The sequence below is a fragment of the Homo sapiens genome, chromosome 14 (genome assembly GCF_000001405.40).
Source record: "Homo sapiens chromosome 14, GRCh38.p14 Primary Assembly".
NCBI lineage: Eukaryota > Metazoa > Chordata > Mammalia > Primates > Hominidae > Homo > Homo sapiens.
In genome coordinates, this window is record NC_000014.9 from 61,757,733 (window position 1) to 61,778,834 (window position 21,102).

General features: G+C 40.9%; 1 protein-coding gene across 1 annotated transcript in view, besides 5 other annotated features; it reads left to right on the forward strand.

The window, feature by feature from the left end:
* Positions 2,682-3,426: an enhancer, noted in NCBI's record as "H3K27ac hESC enhancer chr14:62227132-62227876 (GRCh37/hg19 assembly coordinates)". NCBI's record gives its function as "activates a minimal SCP1, AML or CMV promoter by ChIP-STARR-seq in naive H9 embryonic stem cells {active_cell/tissue: H9 hESC(naive)}" and the evidence as "EXISTENCE:reporter gene assay evidence [ECO:0000049][PMID:30033119]".
* Positions 3,427-4,170: an enhancer, noted in NCBI's record as "H3K27ac hESC enhancer chr14:62227877-62228620 (GRCh37/hg19 assembly coordinates)". NCBI's record gives its function as "activates a minimal SCP1, AML or CMV promoter by ChIP-STARR-seq in naive H9 embryonic stem cells {active_cell/tissue: H9 hESC(naive)}" and the evidence as "EXISTENCE:reporter gene assay evidence [ECO:0000049][PMID:30033119]".
* Positions 4,014-4,103: an enhancer, noted in NCBI's record as "active region_8502". NCBI's record gives its function as "activates an Ori minimal core promoter by ATAC-STARR-seq in GM12878 lymphoblastoid cells {active_cell/tissue: GM12878}" and the evidence as "EXISTENCE:reporter gene assay evidence [ECO:0000049][PMID:35858748]".
* Positions 4,171-4,914: an enhancer, noted in NCBI's record as "H3K27ac hESC enhancer chr14:62228621-62229364 (GRCh37/hg19 assembly coordinates)". NCBI's record gives its function as "activates a minimal SCP1, AML or CMV promoter by ChIP-STARR-seq in primed H9 embryonic stem cells {active_cell/tissue: H9 hESC(primed)}" and the evidence as "EXISTENCE:reporter gene assay evidence [ECO:0000049][PMID:30033119]".
* SNAPC1 (small nuclear RNA activating complex polypeptide 1) overlaps positions 4,688-21,102 on the forward strand; it is a 34,009-nt gene continuing 17,594 nt past the window's right edge. The window contains exons 1-6 of the mRNA NM_003082.4: positions 4,688-4,856; positions 9,144-9,303; positions 9,480-9,620; positions 10,904-11,008; positions 18,363-18,521; positions 20,340-20,408. Coding sequence (NP_003073.1) covers positions 4,729-4,856; positions 9,144-9,303; positions 9,480-9,620; positions 10,904-11,008; positions 18,363-18,521; positions 20,340-20,408 — 762 coding nt within the window. The 5' untranslated portion in view covers positions 4,688-4,728. The remainder of the gene's footprint in view (positions 4,857-9,143; positions 9,304-9,479; positions 9,621-10,903; positions 11,009-18,362; positions 18,522-20,339; positions 20,409-21,102) is intronic.
* Positions 4,915-5,658: an enhancer, noted in NCBI's record as "H3K27ac hESC enhancer chr14:62229365-62230108 (GRCh37/hg19 assembly coordinates)". NCBI's record gives its function as "activates a minimal SCP1, AML or CMV promoter by ChIP-STARR-seq in primed H9 embryonic stem cells {active_cell/tissue: H9 hESC(primed)}" and the evidence as "EXISTENCE:reporter gene assay evidence [ECO:0000049][PMID:30033119]".

A 21,102-nucleotide genomic window follows, 5' to 3' on the forward strand; every position in this document is an offset into this window, starting at 1 on the left:
GCAGTCTCTGAGGAGCAACATCAGAAGCTTCACACTGAGCTGGGGAACTGGACTTCACTAAAGCACTCCAGTCAAGTCAGTAAACAAATAAATAAGTAAACAAAATCAATAAGCTTCAGAAGGGGAAGCAATCAATACCCAGATTTATATAATAAATTGTCTAAAGTATCAAATCTTTAATAAAAAATGCATGAGATATGAAAAGAAACAGGAAAATTTGATCCATACACAGGAAAAAAGGATGCAAGAGAAATTACATAACAGAGGGCTCGATGGCTGACTTTTTAATAAAGACTTTAGAGCAGTCATTAAAAGTATATTCAAAGAATCAAAGGAAACTCTGCGTAAAGATGTAAAGGAATGTATGGTGACAATAATTCATCAAATACAGAACACAAATAGCTAGAAATTATTTTTAAAAGAGCCAAATAGAAATTCTGGAGCTAAAAAGTAAAATAACAAATAAAAACATCACTTCATTGAGCACCTACTGTGTATCAAGTACTTATAGGTGCTGATGGTACATTAGTGAACAAACACACACCCATTCTCCCAGGTTTATCTTTAACAGTATGGGAAGTCTTAGCCTGGGAAATGAAGTAAGAGGGAAAGAAATAAAAGCGATAAGGACTGGAAAGGAAAAAGCAAACTATTATTACTACTGTTATTCACAGCTGCAGATATCATCTATATAGAAAGCCTAAAAGAATCAATAGAAAAATTATTATAAGAGTTTAAACAAGGGGACTGGATACTAAATAAATATATATAATTCAATTGCATTTTTATATATTGGAATCAAGCAGTTAGAAAATGTAAGGCAAAGATACTAAATACAATAGCCACACAAAAACATAAGACATATAAGAAAAATCTAACAAAAGACAAGTAAAAAGTTCAGGGAGAAAAATTATGAAACTTCAGTAAAGATGCTACAGGTGACTTAAAGAAATGTTTGTGGATAGAAATAATACAATAAAGATATTATTTTGGCCAGGCGCAGTGACTCATGCCTGTAATCCCACCACTTTGGGAGGCAGAAGCGGGTGGATCATTTGAGGTCAGGAGTTTGAGACTAGCCTGACCAACATGGTGAAACCTCAATCTCTACCAAAACTACAAAATTAGCTGGGTATGGTGGCACATGCCTGTGATCCAAGCTACTTGGGAGGCTGAGGTAGGAGAATCACTTGAACCCTGGAGGTGGAGGTTGCAGTGAGCTGAGATCGCGCCATTGCACTCCAGCCTGGGCAACAAGAATGAAACTCCATCTCAAAAAAAAAAAAAAAAAAAAAAAGATGTTATTCCTTCCCAAATTGACTTACAGATTTAATGTAATTCAATTGAAATCCCAATGGCGCTATCAGAGAAATTTGACAAGTCAAATTTAAAATTTATATGAAAAAGTGAAAATTCAAGAATAGTCAAGATACTCTGTAGTAATTAGTGTGGTGTTAGAGAAGTGAAATCTAAATGGAGCCTTGAAAGTAGATAACAACCCTAGGAGTAGACTGAAGCTGGAGCCGGCACTGAAGGTTCCTTCCTGTGCCAGGCTTAACCACTTCAGTTTTAGAGGCTGGGAGGTTGAGGGATTTGTGGCCTGGGGGGCCCAAGTGTTTGGGATGAGGGTAGTAAGGAGGCTTAGAGTGGTAACTGTTATACTAACAGTAATGGAAATACTGCACTATGGTTTGGTATTTTAATAACAGGTACAAAGCCATAGTTGTGTACTGTTTGCAATTAGCCATGCAACTTGACATATAACAGAAGTGAATTTTGGGAAAGGATGGACTTTTCAATAACAGATGCTGGAAAATTATACATACGGGAAATACATATACATACATATGGTTATACATATGGAAAAAAGTGAAATAGGATCCTTATACCATACATAGAAATAAATTTTTAGATGGATGACAGTAAATTAAAAGTGAAAGGTAATACTTTCAGAGTTTCTGAATAAAATTGCAGCAGACATGTTGGCAGTCTGTTCTGGTCTGAATGTCTCCCAAAATCAATGTGTTGAAACTTAATTAACAATGTGATAGCATTAAGAGGTAGGGCCTTAGCAGGTAATTAAGTCATGAGGACTCATGAATGGGATTAGTGATTTTATAAAAGGGCTGGAGGGAACTAGCTAGGCCTCTTTTGTCCTTCCGCTATTATGCCATGTGAGGACACGGCAACAAGGTGCCATCTTGAAAGCAGAGAGCAGCCCTCACCAGGCACGGAATCTGCCAGCACCTTGATCTTAGATTTCCCAGCCTCCCAGAACTGTGAGAAATAAATTTCTGTTGTTTGTAAGCTACCTATTCTATGGTATTTTGTTATAGCAGCAGAAATGAGCTAATACGTGGTCCAACAAAGACGTGTGCACCTCTTCCAGCGATTGAAACTATTGTTGGGGAGAGGTTGCCTAATTAGTGATGACGTTTCTCAGCCACCTTTGCACCTGAATGGGTCCATGTGACTGAGTTCTGGCCAATGGAATGTGGACTGAAATGGTGTATAACAGTGCTTCTCAAATTATCTGTTGTAATGAACCATTTCCCAAATGGTTCCCCCACTCTATCATGGGGGAAATAATGCATTTTGGCTCACTGCAACCTCTGCCTCCCAGGTTCAAGTGGTTCTCCTGCCCCAGCCTCCCAAGTAGCTGGGATTACAGGCACACGCCACTACGCCTAGCTAATTTTTGTGTTTTTATTAGAGACGGGGTTTCACTATTTTGGTCACGCTGGTCTCGAACTCTTGACCTGGTGATCCACCCACCTCAGCCTCCCAAATTGCTGGGATTACAGGCGTGAGCCACTGCGCCCAGCCAGTTGCAATACCATTTTCATAAAACTCAAAACCAACCACAACTAAAAAATATACCGTTTAAATATACATACATATGTGATAAAATATATACATGAGAAAGAGAAACAAAATTCAAGGTAGTTATTTATTTATTTTTTGAGATTCGGTCTCACTCCGTAGCCCAGGATGGAGTGCAGTGGCACGATCTCGGCTCACCACTGCAACCTCTGTCTCCTGTAACCACCATCTCCCAGGCTCAAATGATCCTCCCACCTCAGCCTCCCGAGTAGCTGGGACTACAGGTGTGCACCACCATGCCCGGCTAATTTTCACCATGTTTCCCAGGCTGGTCTCCAACTCTTGTGCTTAAGCAATCCTCTTGCTTTTGTCTCCCAAAGTGTTGGGATTTCAGGCGTGAGCCACCGTGCCCAACCAGTAGCTGTGATTAAAGTAGGGTACAGTCAAAGGAATAGGTCAGAGGAGGAAATCGCAGATTGATGTGAAGGCGTTGGTAATGTTCTGGTTCCTACACAGGTGAAAGGTGTACAGGTGTTTAACTGCTATGCTTTTTATCTCACACATCGCATAAATTTTTCTGTGACATAAAATATTACATAACATTTAAAAAACAGGTCAAGAGGGCAGGGTGCAGTGGCTCACGTCTGTAATCCCAACACTTTGGGAGGCCGAGGGGAGCGGATCACCTGAGGTTAGCAGTTCGAGACCAGCCTGGCCAACATGGTGAAACCCTGTCTCTACTAAAAATACAAACAAAACAAAACAAAACAAAATCCGGTTGGAGTGGTGCATGCCTGTAATCCCAGCTACTCGGGAGGCTGAGGCAGGAGAATCGCTTGAACTCGGGAGGCGGAAGTTGCAGTGAACCGAGACCGCGCCACTGAACTCCGGCCTGGGCAACAAGAGCGAAACTCCGTCTCAAAACAAAAAACAAACAAATCCAAACAAACAAACAAACAAACAAAAACAGGTCAAGGATCAGAAAAGTAAAGTGAGTTGACACTCCATTTACACACAGAAAGCCCAATGTTTTTCTATTATATCAGGATACCTCTTCTAAAGAATGATAGCTTACCTTTCAATCAGAGAAATGATCTAAAGTTCAAAATGTTACTCCATAGCTAGCTCCTGGAGGAAGGAAGCTAGGTGGCAGCGTGTACACAAAAAGGCAATTCATCCAAATAATAATATAACAAGAATATAACAAGTAGGTATTTTCTGCTAAGTGCTATGTAGCACAGGGGTGAATGCGTGGCAGGGCAGGAGGAGGGCTGTTTACAAGAGGGTATGAAATGCAGCTCTTCTTTTCAAGAGTGGTTGCAGAATGCCAGGGCTACAAAGAGAGGGCCGCACATTAAGCATCGTATTATGTGGGTACAGAGTATTAGGGTTCTCGATGACCAGAAGGAGAATGAGTGCAGTTTGTTTCCTAGCAAGCCTTCTTTAGCTTCTCTTCCCAAGTGGGAGTGGGGTTGGGGTTGGGACTGTTCTTTCCTAGCTCAAAAGTTCACTTATGTCACACTAGGGTCAGTTTAAAGGAGAGTGCTAGTAAGGGTAAAGTCAAGTTACATAACCTAGCGGAAAATGAAGACCTAAAACCGCTCGTGAGCAAACACAACACTTTAGACGTAAACCTCTTCCAAAGAAGGGTGGATCTCAGCACTCTGGGTGAAAGCAATCTCAGCCAGTAAAACATCAGAACGCTTTCACGCACGCGCAGTAAGCACACGACCGGTGGCAAGAGCCCGGATAAAGGCGGAGCTAAAGGTGCCGGATAATGCATCACGGAGCGCGTGTGCGCACGCCGTAGGGGGCGGGCCGTTCGGGCTTGGTTTCCTGGGCGACCACCGCTGGCTAGTCCGTTAGAGGCGTGCGGGCTTCGGAGGCGTGCGGGCTTCGGGTGCCATGGGGACTCCTCCCGGCCTGCAGACCGACTGCGAGGCGCTGCTCAGCCGCTTCCAGGAGACGGACAGTGTACGCTTCGAGGACTTCACGGAGCTCTGGAGAAACATGAAGTTCGGGACTATCTTCTGGTGGGTGTTTCTTGTCCACCACCCGCCTCTCCCTGCCCGCAGGTGGTGTAGAAAGTTGCCTCCTTCCCGGCGATATTGCACTTGTGAAGGGCTGAGAAGAGCGGCAGTCACCGAAGGTTGCCTCCATGACTCCTGGACCTTCCCCTGTGCTCAGGCAACGCGCTTTCCCTGCTCTATTTCATTGTGCCCTGATGGTTGTTGCGGCCTCCTCCCAAATATGCGTCTCTGCCTGGCCTCCCTTCTAAACTCCTCTCTCCCATCTCCACCCTGAGCCAGGCCACTATCATTTGCCCTTCCCCAGTCTTGTTCTAGGACCTGATGTTTAAAAACACACAAGCAAAGACAAAACCCTTCAAGATTGAATTAATTTTTCCTCCAACAACCAAAGTTGTCTTTTTTTTTTTTTTTTTTTTTTTTTTTGAGACGGAGTCTCCTTTTGTCGCCCAGGCTGGAGTGCAATGGCGCGTTCGCGGCTCAGTGCAACCCTTCGCCTCTCAGGTTCAAGTGATTCTCTTGCCTCAACCTCCGGAGTAGCTGGGATTACAGGTGCCCGGCACCACGCCCGGTTAATTTTTTGTATTTTTAGTAGAGACGGGGTTTTACTATGTTGGCCAGACTGGCCTCGAACTCCTGATCTCGTGACCCGCCCGCCTCGGCCTCCCAAAGCGCTAGGATTACAGGAGTGAGCCACCGCGCCCGGCCCAAAAGTTGTTTTTCAAAAGTGCAAATTTGATTATGTCACTCCCCGACTTATTACTCTGTAGTGGTGCCCATTGCCTTTGGGATAACGCTTGAATTCTCTGACTTGCCAAGACCATTCCTCACTGGCCTTTGCCTATCTCTCCAGCTTCGCCTGCCAGTCCCCTCCATGCACTCACTTTCTTGCTCCAGCAGCTGCTTTTTTTTTTTTTTTTTTTTCTTTGGGCCCTCTACAGGCTTTTCCTAATCCTGGAGTTTCCACCGCAACTCTCTTGTTTTGTCCACCTTATTCTTCACTCAGGGTTAAGCTCAAATGACATCCTCGGGGGAAGTCTTTTTTGCTCTTCTAGACTGAGTACGCTGTTCATGTTTTTTCCCCGCATAGCACCCTGTTTTTATTTTATGTCACCGCTTTCCACATTTTGTTGTAATGGTATAGTTGAAAAGGCAGTGTGGGATTGTTAAGGGCATAGGTTATGGAACCCAATTGGCTGCATTTGATTGCAGGGTCCGCTATGACTTGGGGCAAGTTACTTGAGTTTCCATATCTGTAAAATAGAGGCAATGATAAACCTCATAGTAGTTGTGAAGATTAAATGAGCTGATATATCAGAAATACATTCTAAGTGCTCAATAAATGTTCATTATTATTATTTTTTTTTCTTGAGACATAGTCTTGCTCTGTCACCCAGGCTGGAGTGTAATGGTGCGATCTCCTATCACTGCAACCTCCACCTCCCGGGTTCAAGAGATTCTCCTGCCTCAGCCTCCCGAGTAGCTGGGACTACGGCTTGTGCCACCAAGCCTGGCTAATTTTTGTATTTTTAGTAGAGACGGGATTTCACCATGTTGGCCAGGCTGGTCAAATGTTCATTATTACTACCGTTTTAAAATTTTCCTTTGACTAGACTGACCTCTGTGAGGACAGTGACTGGATGAATCTATTTTTATTACCATAGTACATATAATATTAAAAAGGCGAAATAACTGATTTTCTGAATGAGTTAAACCTTATGATTAAAACTTTTTCTGAACAAAATGTAAAAACTCATTTTCTCTCTGTCAGTGTAAGCAAATTACCTTTGTAGTTTTTTAAATTGCAAGGAATGGAGGATGAAGAGCTGTTTGTTGTACAGTTAATAAAAGGAGAGAGACTTTTTTTTTTAAATGGCTACTACATGCCATTTATTTATAGCTTTATTTATTGCATAAGACAGTTATAAAAAGCAGGTATAATTATCCTTGTTTTATAGATGAGGAAATTAAGGCTTAAAGAGGTTAAGTAATTTCTCCACCATTACAAAGATAGTGGATTGTAGAGCAGATGTTGGAAACTATGTATCTGCCTGTTTCTAAAATCCGTTAATATTCCACTGTACCACTTCTTGGGGGGAAAAATGCATTTAAGGAAAAAGCTAAAAATGTAACATTTACATTTTCTAGTAGGGAGAACCTAAAATGATAAAAGAAGCAGGAATCACTAGAGTGGTGGATTTTCTTGAGAAATTACTTTGGTTACCGTAACTAGAGTAGGCATTTTGTATTCTTTTCCTATATTTATTATTTGAAGACCCAAAATGTCCTCCTACTACCCCCTTCCCTTCCACCCCTGCATTGTAATCAGATATAATAGAGCCCGTGTTTATGGCTGCAGGGCAAATGTCTTTATTGTTTGTTGCTGGTTTTAAAGTAAAAGTTCTACATATTTATATTTGTATAGCGTATTAGTCACTCGCATCAACACTTTGAGACATTTATTTTAGCTAATGTTTTATTTAAAATCTGGCATTTTTTATCTACTAATTTCAGGTCTTACATAGAAACCTATAATATGCACAAATGTGGCTTCATTGTTTTATCCAAAGTGGTAAGAAGACTGTTACATTGACTTTTTTAAGGCCTTGTTTTTTAAAATTTTTTGTTAACTTAGCACAGCAGAACAGTTTCAGATAGTTTATTCATTATGCTGTTTATATCCACAGAAAATATATGTGAACCTCGAAAATTTGAGACACGTCTCAGTTAATTTAGAAAGGTTATTTTGCCAAGGTTGAGGACGCACCCGTGACACAGCCTCAGGAAGTCGTGTTGACATGCGCCCAAGGTGGTCAGGGCACAGCTTGGTTTTGTACATTTAGGGAGACATGAGACATCAATCAATATATGCAAGAAGTACGTTGGTTCGTTCTGGAAAGGCGGGACAACTTGAAGCAAAGGCAGGAAGACTGGAAGTGGGGAGGGAGCTTTCAGGTCACAGATTGGTGATACACAAATGCTTGCGTTCTTTTGAGTTTCTGATTAGCTTTTCCAAAGGAGGCAAATCAGATATGCATCTATCTCAGTGAGCCGAGAAGTCACTTTGAATAGAATGGGAGAGGTTTGCCCTAAGCAGTTTCCAGCTTGAGTTTTCCTTAGTGATCTTGGGTGCCCAAGATACTTTCCTTTCATGTACATTTCCTATGTTATTTCATTGATTGATTGCCAACAAAGCCTTGTTGCTCTCTTGGATGTTTGGACAAAGCTTTTGGTTGTATGCTGGAGTATGCTCTTCTCCCTTCCTCCTCCTTTCTTCTGATGAGCTTGCAGTGCTCTGGACAATTAGGAGTGCGGGTTACTTTGTGCTGTTTCTCTATCTTTTTCGCCTCGGCTTCGCAAGGACAGAGGAGATTTAGTGCAAATCCCTGAGAGTATTGGAGAAAATGTTCGTTAGGTAAAAAGTAAAGTAGAGGTTCTGCTTCAAAGAGTTTCCTCCCCATCTAATTAAGACTAAATAGTAACTTATCTTAGAAGCAAAATTTATTCAAAGACCTATGCTAACATTCTTAAATATCTGCTAGCTGTAATAAAGAAATCAGTGTATTTTATGTTCTTAGCTCCCACAATTTAGCCTAAATATTTGCCCTGGCGTGCTTATACTGGTCCAAGCAAGCATTAAGTCATAGCCTGTTCTTCTTCCTTATTTAAAAGTGTTTTTACCTTTCTCAGCATTCCACAAGTTACTTCAAGTTCTAAGTTGCTAGTCAATGAAGACAGATACAGAATGTGAAGTCCCGTTCCAGCCAATAGAAACCGGACACAGCAGTAAAGTAGATGTGTCAAGTTATAAATGACCCTGTCTCCTTTGTTCAGTGTAGCAAAACTGCTGGCGACTGTACCCTTTTGTGCAGAAAGTAAAAAAATGGCCTTGCTGAAGAAATAAAATTTACGTTCAAGTGATACTTCTTTATAGCACCAAAGAACAAGCATTTTTGGCAATTGTATATTAAAATGCACATAGTTCTGTAACATAACCATGATTATTTTAACATTATGGGTTTTAAATATTTAACCAATAGTAATTTGAAACCCCTTCCTTCTTGCTCTTCAATTTGGCAAGTAAAGTTGATGCTTTTGGAAGCTGCGTCATGTTTACCTAGTAGTTGCCTTTGCCTTGGTGTAAAATTATCTCTTTGTGCTTGAATCATGAAAGAATCAGGTATGGAATCCTCATCAAATTATAACTACCGTTTAAACAAGTATATACTTTTGGCTTTTGTTCATTACTTATTCACTTAATGAGTCGTAATATATTTTCTCTCTGTTTATTAGTGGCAGAATGAGAAATTTAGAAAAGAACATGTTTACAAAAGAAGCTTTAGCTTTGGCTTGGCGATATTTTTTACCTCCATACACCTTCCAGATCAGAGTTGGTGCTTTGTATCTGCTATATGGATTATATAATACCCAACTGTGTCAACCAAAACAAAAGGTAATACTTAGTGAGTTATTTTTCCTTAGCAGAAATGTAAAACAAGTACCATATTTTTATAATAAATATTATATGATTAAATATGATTTAAATAAAATGCCAGTATTTTAAAATTATAATATGTTTGTGAAAAAATATTTACATTTAGTACAACTTTTTTTTCTTCCTGGTTGCAGATCAGAGTTGCCCTGAAGGATTGGGATGAAGTTTTAAAATTTCAGCAAGATTTAGTAAATGCACAGCATTTTGATGCAGCTTATATTTTTAGGAAGCTACGACTAGACAGAGCATTTCACTTTACAGCAATGCCCAAATTGGTATGTTGCCTAAAATAATTTGGTTTTTTCAAAATGAGCAATTATACTTTATTGTCCATAAAACCTCTCAATCTCCAGAAAATGGAATAAGTATTGATAGTGTTCAAGACTTTTAGCTTTTTTTTTTTTTAGACAGAGTCTTGCTCTGTCGCCCAGGCTGGAGTGCAGTGGCACCATCTCGGCTGACTGCAACCTCCGCCTCCCGGGTTCGAGGGATTTTCCTGCCTCAGCCTTCTGAGTAGCTGGGACTACAGGCATGCGCCACCACACCAAGCTAATTTTTGTATTTTTAGTAGAGACAAGGTTTCACCATGTTGTCCAGGATGGTCTTGATCTCTTGACCTCGTGATCCACTCACCTTGGCCTACCAAAGTGTTGGGATTACAGGCGTGAGCCACTGCGCCCGGCCTGGCTTGTAACTTTTTTTGTGTGTGTGTGCCTTTTTGATACAGAGTCTTGCCCTGTCGCCCAGGCTGGAGTACAGTGGTGCTATCTCAGCTCACTGCAACCTCCGCCTCCAGGGTTCAGGCAATTCTCCTGTCTCAGTCTCCTGAGTAGCTGGGACTACAGGCGCCCTCCACCACGCCTAGCTAATTTTTGTATTTTTAGTAGAGATGGGGTTTCACCATATTGGTCAGGCTGGTCTTGAACTCCTGACCTCAGGTGATCCACCCGCCTCAGCCTCCCAAAGTGCTGCTCACCTCAGGTGAGCCACCATGCCCGGCCTTGTAGCTTTTTTAAAATAGGAGAAGGTATTTTCTAATTACTACTTTTTTTTCTGCAAGCAAAAATTTAGCCTTTGCTTTTTAAATGCAGTGTATCTGGGTGCCACATATTAAGCGAACTGTTTTGAGAACAAATTAGATTTGGCATCTGCATTTGCTCATGTCTCAAACATCAGAGGAGGTTACTGAAAGACGTACAAAATTGTTAAAAATTCTTTGGTGAAAAGTTGAAACTTCTAATAGCATTTGTTTTTTTTTAATCTAGTGGTAATTGAGACACTAGGTTGAAGAGCACTAGTTCTGGTTCTGCCATTAGCTGGCAAATTATGTAATTTCTGTCTTATCTGAATTTGTAGGCATGTGGCATGGCATGTGAGAGGATACTTCACAAGTCTAACAGTCTTTGGAACGTGGATATTTAACAGATGTACCCTTACAGCTGGTTTTGTTTTATCTGTGTTTACTTATAGACAATTTTTAGTGCTGGCTTATATTTCAATACTTTTAACAATACTGTTTAAAAGATACTCATTTAAAAAGACACGTATTATCACATAGCTGTCATATAGGATGAAGAAAAAAATTCACCGAGCTGAAGTTACAGAAGAATTTAAGGACCCAAGTGATCGTGTGATGAAACTTATCACTTCTGATGTATTAGAGGTAAATTTTCTTTTATGCTCTTGAAAATTTTTAAAAATTGTTTTATTGCCAACTACATATTGAGGTTATACCTTCATCTACTGGATACTGATTTTTCTAATGATTTTAACCACTCTAGGATGCTATTTCTCTAGAGTATCAGACATAAAATAGCCTAAATATATCAAGGCTTACAAATCTTGAAATAGCGTGAGAAAAAAAGATGTAGAAGACTGGACCTGGACTGAAGATGTGTGGATTCTGTTACTAAAACTATTGTTTGTATTTGACTTTAGTTAGGTCATAAAACAAGAGTTTAAAGTGACTTTACTTACTTTTTTAAAAAAACAATATACATGACCAGGCATGGTGGCTCACACCTGTAATCTCAGCACTTTGGGAGGCCGAGGTGGGTGGATCACGAAGTCAGGAGTTTGAGACTAGCCTGGCCAATATGGTGAAATCCCGTCTCTACTAAAAATACAAAAGTTAGCTGGGCATGGTGGCGCACGTCTGTGGTCCCAGCTACTGGGGAGGCTGAGGCTGGAGAATCACAAACCCCAGAGGTAGAGGTTGCAGTGAGCTGAGATCGCACCGCTGCACTCCAGCCTGGGCAACAGAGCAAGATTCCGTTTTGAAAAACAAAAAAACCAATGTGCATTTATTTCCTGAGGTTTTTTTTTTTTTTTTTTTTCTCACACGGAGTCTTGCTCTGTCACCCAGGCTGGAGTGCAGTGGTGCAATCTCAGCTCATTGTAACCTCCGCCTCCCAGGTTCAAGCAATTCTCCTGCCTCAGCCTCCCGAGTAGCTGGGACCACAGGCGTGTGCCACCATGCCCGGCTGATTTTTTGTATTTTTGGTAGAAACAGGGTTTTGCCGTGTTAGCCAGGATGGTCTCGATCTCCTGACCTGGTGATCTGCCCACCTCTGTCTCCCAAAGTGCTGGGATTACAGGCGTGAGCCACTGCACCCAGCCTACTTCCTGAGTTTTAACATTTATTTTAAAACCTACCATTGAAAACAGTGAGTCTATTTTGATAATATATTTTCGTATTTTGTTTGAGTGTACAGTATTGGGAAAAATCTTATGCATGGATAAGTAGTGTTACAAATCTTTTTAAGCATGAGTAGAAAAGCATTGCTTTGAGGTTGAAACAAAATCTCAGTACAGGGTTACAGTATTCCAAATCAATGATATTTCAAAAGAACATATAGAGAGGAGACGAGAGGGTAAGGGGACACTTTGGTCGTGCTTTTAAATTTTCTTTAAGCCTAAATGTCTCCCTCATTACTATTAGGATTATAATATTTTATTTCATTCGGTTGTTCTGCAAATTGAAATGAGGTGATGCCTAAATAGTGCTGAGTGTGGTATATTACACACAGTATATACCCTTAATAAATGTTAATTCCCTTTTTCTCCAGCCCTACTCAGTCTTTTCTTGTATTACAATTGAAAGACAGGGATCAGATCTTAGATTTACTCAAATGTTTGTTTAGATGCCCCCATGTTCTTTTTTTTTTTTTTTTTCTTGTCCCTGACACAGGATCTTCCTCTGTCACCCAGGCTGGAATGTAGTGGCACGATCTTGGCTTGCAGCAACCTCTGCCTCCTAGTTTCAAGTGATTCTTGTGTCTCAACCCACTGAGTAGCTGGGATTACAGTTGTGCACCACCATGCCCAACTAATTTTTTCTATTTTTAATAGAGGTGAGGTTTCACTGTGTTGACCAGGTTGGTCTTGAACTCCTGGCCTCAAGCGATCTGCCTGCATTGGCCTCCTAAAGTGGTGAGTTTACAGGTGTGAGCCACTGTGCCCGGTCGCCCCCACGTTGCAATAACATCAGCCTGTCAGGTTGTTTGTAATTCAGGTAGCAAATTGATTTTTGGGAGCACTCTGGGTCTGTTCTGTAAAGTAACTTTATTTTTGAGCAAGGATCCTTAATCTCTGGCCTGGAGATGGTCCATGTCCCTCTCCCCCACCACATTGTATGAAAAATTGATGTCATACATATGGATCCTTTTTTTTTGAGATAGATTCTCTCACTCTGTAGCCCAAGTTGGAGTGCAGTGGCGCAATTTTGGCTCACTGCAACCTGCAACCTCTGCCTCCAGGGCTCAAGTGATACTCATGCCTCAGCCTCTCGAGTAGCTGGGACTACAGGTACGCACCACCACACTCGGCTAATTTTTTGTATTTTAGTAGAGATGGGGTTTCACCATGTTGCCCAGGGTGGTCTCAAACTCCTGAGCTCAGGCGATCCGCCCGCCTCAGCCTCCCAAAGTACTGCAATTACAGACATGAGCCACCCCACCCAGCTCATATGGATACATTTTTAGGGTGAGGTACTGTAATTATCCTCAGATTCTCAAAGGTGTTCATGTCCCCCAAAAAGGTTAAGAATTACTGTATTACAAGGAACTGAATATTCCTCAATATCTGAAGACATAGTATAATGCAGGAACTCTGGGAAAATATTTTGTGTAGATTGTTTTACTTCTACAACATTTCTGCAAAATAAGTGTTTTTAAACATTTTTAATTATTATTTTTAAAAATAGGGGTTTTTATCCGTGATTTAAAGTTGAGGAAACTGAGTTACAGAGACTAGGTTAGGAAGTAATGGAGCTAAGCTTCATACTCAGTTTTGTATGGCTGTGGTGCCTGTTTGTTGGACAGCAAAGGACTGGTCTGAGGTGGGACTGGGGTTAGAAATTTGTCATTCAACAAACAAATGAAGTGTAACAAGAACTAGGATTTTTTTTTCCCTCTAGCAGCTTAGTGAGAAAGAGGTAGGAGAGAGTTTATGTAGAAAACTAAATAAGATAAAAGTACTTTGTGTAATAGAAGGAATTTGTATTTTGTCTTTTTGGCAGAGGGGAGTCGTAAAGTTTTAGAGATTGGAGAGACATAATGTTTATGTTTGGAGTTGAGGTAAGGAGCTAGTTAGAGGGAATGGTTGTATATAGGAGAGGTAGCGAGCAAGGTTCCTGCTATGGAGGAGGTGGGTGTGTCTGCGATTGAGAGTCCATGGAGGGAGTAGCCTTGAGCAGAAGGCATACTTTTTCCTTTGAAACTTGAGGAAAGAAGGTGAGAATGGATTTTTATAAATCTTTGTGTAGAGGAGAAATAGAAGGCAAACAGACCTGATTGCCTGAACTTTAAGAGAGCATCATGGGGATCAGGGAACTGAGAGTTGAAAATGTTTGGAATAGCGGTTGTGGAGAATGGAAGAAAGATTTCGGGATACCAGAAAGTTGAGAAATGCTGATGTGAATCATGAAGAGAGAGGCATAGGACATTTTCAAACAGCAAGACATTATTCTTATCAATATTCTAATGAAAAAAGATGATCTGAACCCAGTTGGTTACAATTTCTTTTTTTTTAATTTTTGAGACAGGATCTTGCTTCATCACCGTGGCTGGAGCGCAGTAGGGTGATCGTAGCTCACTGCACCCTCAGTCTCCTGGGCTTAAGTGATCCTCCCACCTCAGCCTCCTGAGTAGCTAGGCCCTCACCACCATGCTGGCTAATTTTTTTTTCCGAGACGGTGTCTTGCTCTGTGTCCCAGGCTGGAGTGCAGTGGTATGATCTTGGCTCACTGCAACTGCCACCCGGGTTCAAGCGATTCTCCTGCCTTAGCCTCCTGAATACCTGGGATTACAGGCACGTGCCACCACGCTGGGCTAATCTTTGTATTTTTAGCAGAGGCAGGGTTTCGGCATCTTGGCCAGGCTGGTCTTGAACTCCTGACCTTGTGATCCACCCACCTTGGCCTCCCAAAGTGCTGGGATTATAGGCGTGAATCACTACGCCTGGCCCATGCTGGCTAATTTTAAAACATTTCTTGTAGAGACAAGGTCTTGCTATGTTGCCCAGGCAGGTCTTGAACTCCTGAGCTTGGGTGATCTTCCTACCTTGGCCTCCCACAGTGCTGGGATTATAGGCATGAGCCACCATGGTTGTCCGGTTTTAATTTTTCTGACTGTTGACCAATTTGGTGGTAGAATGTAAATATTTTTTCAACATATCTTTTTCAACATGCTTTTTCATTCTAAGCTCTTTTAAGTTGGGGTTGATGAACAAAGGTCTACTCTTTTAGAGTGAATAGAGAAGAGTATCAGAAGGGTCAAGCTATGAAATGCCTATACCTGGAAGCTTTTAGGAATGGAATAGTCTGTGAAGTTATCCTGGCTCTGTCGGATCTCTGGCTTGTGACATAATTGCTTTGAGAGCCTTGTCCCTTGATACTTCTGCTGGCTCTATATCTTTTGTCCTAGCATAGCCTGTAATCCATTCTCACTGATAATTCTTAAATTTAATACTTTTAAATTTTCCTTCTACTGCCTGCAACTGCTATTAAGTCTTCATTTCAGAAGATCTGAATTCTGGTCATGATTCTGCCACTTGTTCTAGTTTTGTGGTTAAGAGGCATAATAAAATGAAAAGAGAACAGGATACTGAATCAAAACATTTGACTTCTAATTCTAGCCCGCTGCTATGTAAGTAGGACCTTGAGCAAATTATTTCATTTCTGTTTCTTCATTTATACAGTTATAATAATGGACATCGTGTGCTGAGTACTCACCATATACCTGGAACTATGCTAGATGTTTTATGTATGTTATCTCACTAATTATCATAGTAACCCTGCAGAGAAGGTGGTATTTCCTTAGTTTTTTTTTTTTTTTTTTTTTTTGAGATGGAGTCTCCCTCTGTCGCCCAGGCTGGAGTGCGATCTTGGCTCACTGCAAGCTCTGCTTCCTGGGTTCATGCCATTCTCCTGCCTCGGCCTGCTGAGTAGATGGGACCACAGGCGCCTGCCACCATGCCCAGCTAATTTTTTGTATTTTTTTAGTAGAGACAAGGTTTCACCGTGTTAGTCAGGATGGTCTTGATCTCCTGACCTCATGATCCGCCCGCCTCGGCCTCCCAAAGTGCTGGGATTGCAGGCGCGGGCCACCATGCCTGGCCTTTTTTTTTTTTTTATTTTTTAAGGCAGAGTTTCCCTTTTATTGCCCAGGCTGGAATGCAGTGGCACGATCTCGGCTCACTGCAGCCTCCACCTCCCCACCTCCCAGGTTCAAGCGATTCTCCTTCCTCCGCCTCCCGAGTAGCTCGGACAACAGGCACCCGCCACCATGCCTGGCTAATTTTTTGTATTTTTAGTAGAAATGGGGTTTCACCATGTTGGCCAGGGTGGTCTCGAACTCCTGACCTCAGGTGATCCGCCTACCTCGGCCTTCCAAAGTGCTGGGATTACAGGCATGAGCCATCGTGCACGGCCCCCAGTTTTAAAAATAAGGAAACTGAGGTTTAGAGAAGTTAAGTAGTTTGTATAAGGTGAGGCACAATAAGGTACAGACACTATGTTTGAATGTCCAAGTCTATAAGGCTCCAAAGTCCATGCACTGTCTTTTATTTCTTATTTAATTTTCTTCTTCTTTTTTTTTTTTTTTTTTAAAGGTGGGGGTCTTGCTGTGTTGCCTGAGTTGGCCTTGAATTCCTGGGCTCAAGCCATCCTCATGCCTCAGGCTTCTGAGTAGCTGGGACTACAGGTGCACACTACTGTGCCTGGCTTCTTTAATCTTCTATAGTGCTTTACATTCTACTGAATACTTTCACCTGTATAAGCTTGTTTAATACTTAACAATGGTGGGTTTGTTCATTTTGTACAAATGCGAAACATGAACATGATTCTTAGGTTGAGGGACTTCCCCATTGTCATCCATTGAGCAAATGACAGAGCTCAGACTCAAAAATTAGATCTGACTGGTGGTCTTTCTCTATCACATGAAGTAAAAATAATGAGAGTATAGCCAATGTAAACTGTAAAGAGTTAGGGGCTCTCCATGTCTGGACACTGTTCTCCCATTGCAGATCCTGCATATATGAGCACTCACTCACCACTATTGATCAGTTTCTCATTTTTTTTTTTTTTTTTTTTTTTTTTTTTTGAGAGGCAGAGTTTCACTCTTGTTGCGCAGGCTGGAGTGCAATGGTGCGATCCTGGCTTACCGCAACCTCTGCCTCCCAGGTTCCAGTGATTCTCCTGCCTCAGCCTCCCGAGTAGCTGGGATTACAAGCATGTGCCACCACACCCGGCTAACTTTGTATTTTTAGTAGAGACGGGGTTTCTCCATGTTGGTCTGGCTGGTCTCGAACTCCAGACCTCAGGTGATCTGCCCACCTTGGCCTCCAAGAGTGCTGGGATTACAGGAGTCAGCCACTGTGCCTGGCCTAGTTTCTCATTTCTTGAACAGGTGTTGATTCTACCAAAATCTGGAAATGAATTGAGTGGTCTGAGTTAGGGATGACTCAGATGTTGCAATGTCCATCTGTGATGGAAGTGTCAGTAGTTCTCTCTTGATCTTAGAGCCAAGTCCCTATGCCAGGTTTTCTTAAGTCCACTCTGTGGTATGCTGTCTTTTTCCTTACCCCACAGATCTGCCCATTTGGCTGGAGATTTTTGGAGGAAGAAGATCTAATAAATAATGCCACAAATGGTGTCATAAATCACCCTCTATTTCTTTCTTTTTTTTTTTTCTTGAGATGGAGTCTTGCTCTGTTACCCCTGCTGGAGTGCGGTGGTGGTTCAATCTTGGCTCACTGCAACCTCCGCCTCCCGGGTTCAAGCAATTCTCCTACCTCAGCCTCCCAGGTAGCTGGGATTACAGGCGCCCACCCCCATACCCGGCTAATTTTTGTATTTTTAGTAGAGACGGGGTTTCACCATGTTGGCCAGTCTGGTCTTGAACTCCTGATCTGGTGATTCTCCCACCTTGGCCTCCCAAAGTGCTGGGATTATAGGTGTGAGCCACCACACCTGGCCTACCCTCTATATCTTTAATCCTGAATGTTATCGCTGAAGCAATGGGGAAGCTTATGGGAACAGGCACATACGTTTTGGGATTTCTGTGGCAGGTTGGATGAGAGTCGTTACATAGGAATTTCCAGCAGAGCATAAAGGACTATGTAAATATTCTTGATGTGACAATATGATATAAAAATATCTTAGTTATCAGTAGTGATATTTAATGATATGTCATGCTACAAATAATTGTGATATTCTAGAATGGAATTTTATGTTAACTGATTTGTCTTTCCCCAATGTCTTCCCCATAAGTGTATCTTATATCTTAGTTAATGTTTGTTGAGGTAAGTCAGTAAATCCATACCTCTGGAATCCACACCTCTATGTTAATGAAGTTGTACTATTTTGCTTACATGATTATGTTATTTTTAATATACTATAGCATGTTATTACCTATCAACTGGAAGTCACTTTGGAAGGTGACTATTTTGTGTTGGTTTTGCCTTTTAGTTTCTCCTCAAAAAGTGAAGAAATAAAGGACTCATCTTTTTGCTTTTAGGAAATGCTGAATGTTCATGATCATTATCAGAACATGAAACATGTAATTTCAGTTGATAAGTCCAAGCCAGATAAAGCCCTCAGCTTGATAAAGGATGATTTTTTTGACAATATTAAGAACATAGTTTTGGAGCATCAGCAGTGGCACAAAGACAGAAAGGTATGCAATCACTTGTTTGGTGCCTCACCATTGTATTTTACACGAATGTTTATCCGTGGATGATAATGTTGGGAGGCAGCCTAGTTTTAGAGGCTGTAATCCTGTGGAGCTAAGATTTATAGGGCTTGGCTTTTCTAGTTCCACTTTTGCCACTTATTAGGTATGTGATGTTATTTAACCTGATAAATGGAGTATATATGTATTTTCTTTTTTTTTTGGTAGAAGAGTAAATAATCTTGTTATACCTCAGATTTATTACAGACTTTATAATTTGGCATTTTTTAGGGGTTGCACACTCAGTCTTTGGGCTAAATCCTGCACACAGATGTGTTTTGTTTGGCATAGTGTTGATTCTAACACTGTTTAAAATTTTTGAGTTAATTACCAAATTTAAGTATTTGTGAACTTCACCTAAAATTCTAGACATACAACTTCTCTTAAAATTCAGAAGGTCTGGTAACACTGATTCCACTTTGCTGCATGACAGCAGACAGTGGGACCTGAGTGGGGGCTTTTCCTACTGTGATAGGGCAGGTGTTTCTCTGTTTACACATTGTCTACCTGGTATGGTTTATCTTTTTGCAAGTCTCATCAACACAGATCTTCAACTTAGTTTATTTAACCAAAAGTATTGATGCTAGAGCTACCCATATTTCACATTAGCCTTTTCCAGCTAGAGAAACTTTTTTTACCCTGGAAACCTAAAGGCTAGCCTTGTGAAATTTACTTTTGAAACTATTACTCCATCTTATTTTAGTAAATCTAGGAAAAAAAATTTTTTTAAAGTAAGCAATTTCTGATTACTTACTATGTGTCTTGATAATGTGTTGGTGTTTTCACAAATGCCACACAGATACTGTTATCTATATATTGTCCTTCAGAAAGATTTCTTGCTACTTTTTCACTTTCTGTTATATAAAGGAAGCTGGCTCAAAACTTAATTTTAGAAAAGATAAACAAGGAAACTGATAAGATGATAGTCTCGGGAAGAAGAAAATAACTTTATTCCTCTGCATTTATTTTAATGAGAGATAGCAAGTTCTAGAATGTTTGGATACTTTAAGTCCTACAAATAGGTTACACAAATGACTTAGGCATTTAATGTAAAAATTTGTTAGTATTCTTTATGTATATGTATATAGACAGGGTCTTCTTGCTCTGTCACCCTGGCTGGAATGCAGTGGCATGACTGCAGCTCACTGCAGCCTCAACCTCCCAGGCTTAAGTGATCCACCCACCTCAGCCTTCAGTGTAACTGGGTTTGCAGACACGTGCCACCATGCCCAACTAATTTTTTTTGTTTTTTGTAGAGACAGGGTCTTGCTATGTTGCCAGGGATAGAACCAGTTTAGTTTTAATTTTTTTTTTTTTTTTAGAGATGGGGTCTTGCTATGTTGCCCAGGCTGGTTTGGAACTCCTGGCCTCAAGCGATCCTCCCACCTCAGCCTCCCAAAGTATTAGGATTACAGGATTAGCCACCATGCATAGCTAGTATGCTCTTTTAATAGATAAACTCTCTTCAAAGAGCATTACTCCAAGCTCTGAAAACCTGAAGGAAAGGAGAATAAGCCCATTTTCTTACTACCACATAAAGACTACCACATGAGTTAGGAGGATTTAAGCATTTTGTTGATGAATTGTAGAACATTTTGATGTAATCTGATGTAATCTTAATGTTAGGTGGTATATAATGTGAATGATCTTTTAGTTTTTCATTTATTAAAAATGATTTCTCACCATTCTAAAATTGATTTGCAGTTAATTGAATTGTAAATTTGTATGTGTGTATGTGTGTATGTATCTTTTTTGCTCTTTTAGAATCCATCCTTAAAGTCAAAAACTAATGATGGAGAAGAAAAAATGGAAGGAAATTCACAAGAAACGGAGGTCAGAAAACTTTGCAATTCATATTATGTGTGGCTGTGATTCTGTATACTGAGCATTGTGACCCATGGTCAGTATTATAAGACATATAAGAGAAAATTCTGAATCATGCTTCTGTGAAAAGGTAGTTTGTTCTTTACTGGAAGCCTTGTGGAGGCCACATCAGGTGTAGATTGGGAGAGAGGATGATAATAATTTTCCGCAGGGAAAGGAAAGCTTGACTATGGAAAGTGCCCTCAGTTCGTAGAGGATCAGGATCAGGCTTTTGTAATATATCTTTTCTCACTTGTCAGCCTTTCAACCAGTGTAGAGCCCAAGCTATTATACTATATACTGCTTCCTGCCTCCAGAGTTTTCATCCATCTTAGTGGATGAGACAAGGAGCCATCTTTGAGTATAGGCAGATGAGGAGGGAATGGCAGTTCAGGGCTCTGCCTGATCACCCAGGCTTTCATTCATACTGTCCTCCTTGAATCCTGAATGAAAATGATCTCTAACTATGGGGATGGTGTTATGGCACCTGCTACATCTGTGAGAGAATATGATGTATGTTTATGTGTGTGTACTCAATGTATACCCAATGTATGTTAGTTTCTTTTACCCTACATTGTGTCTGAAATCTTATTTCTGATAATAAATACTTGGGTATTCAGTTTTTCACCTAATGTTTGTGTGTTTTAACTTTTTTTTCCTTCTT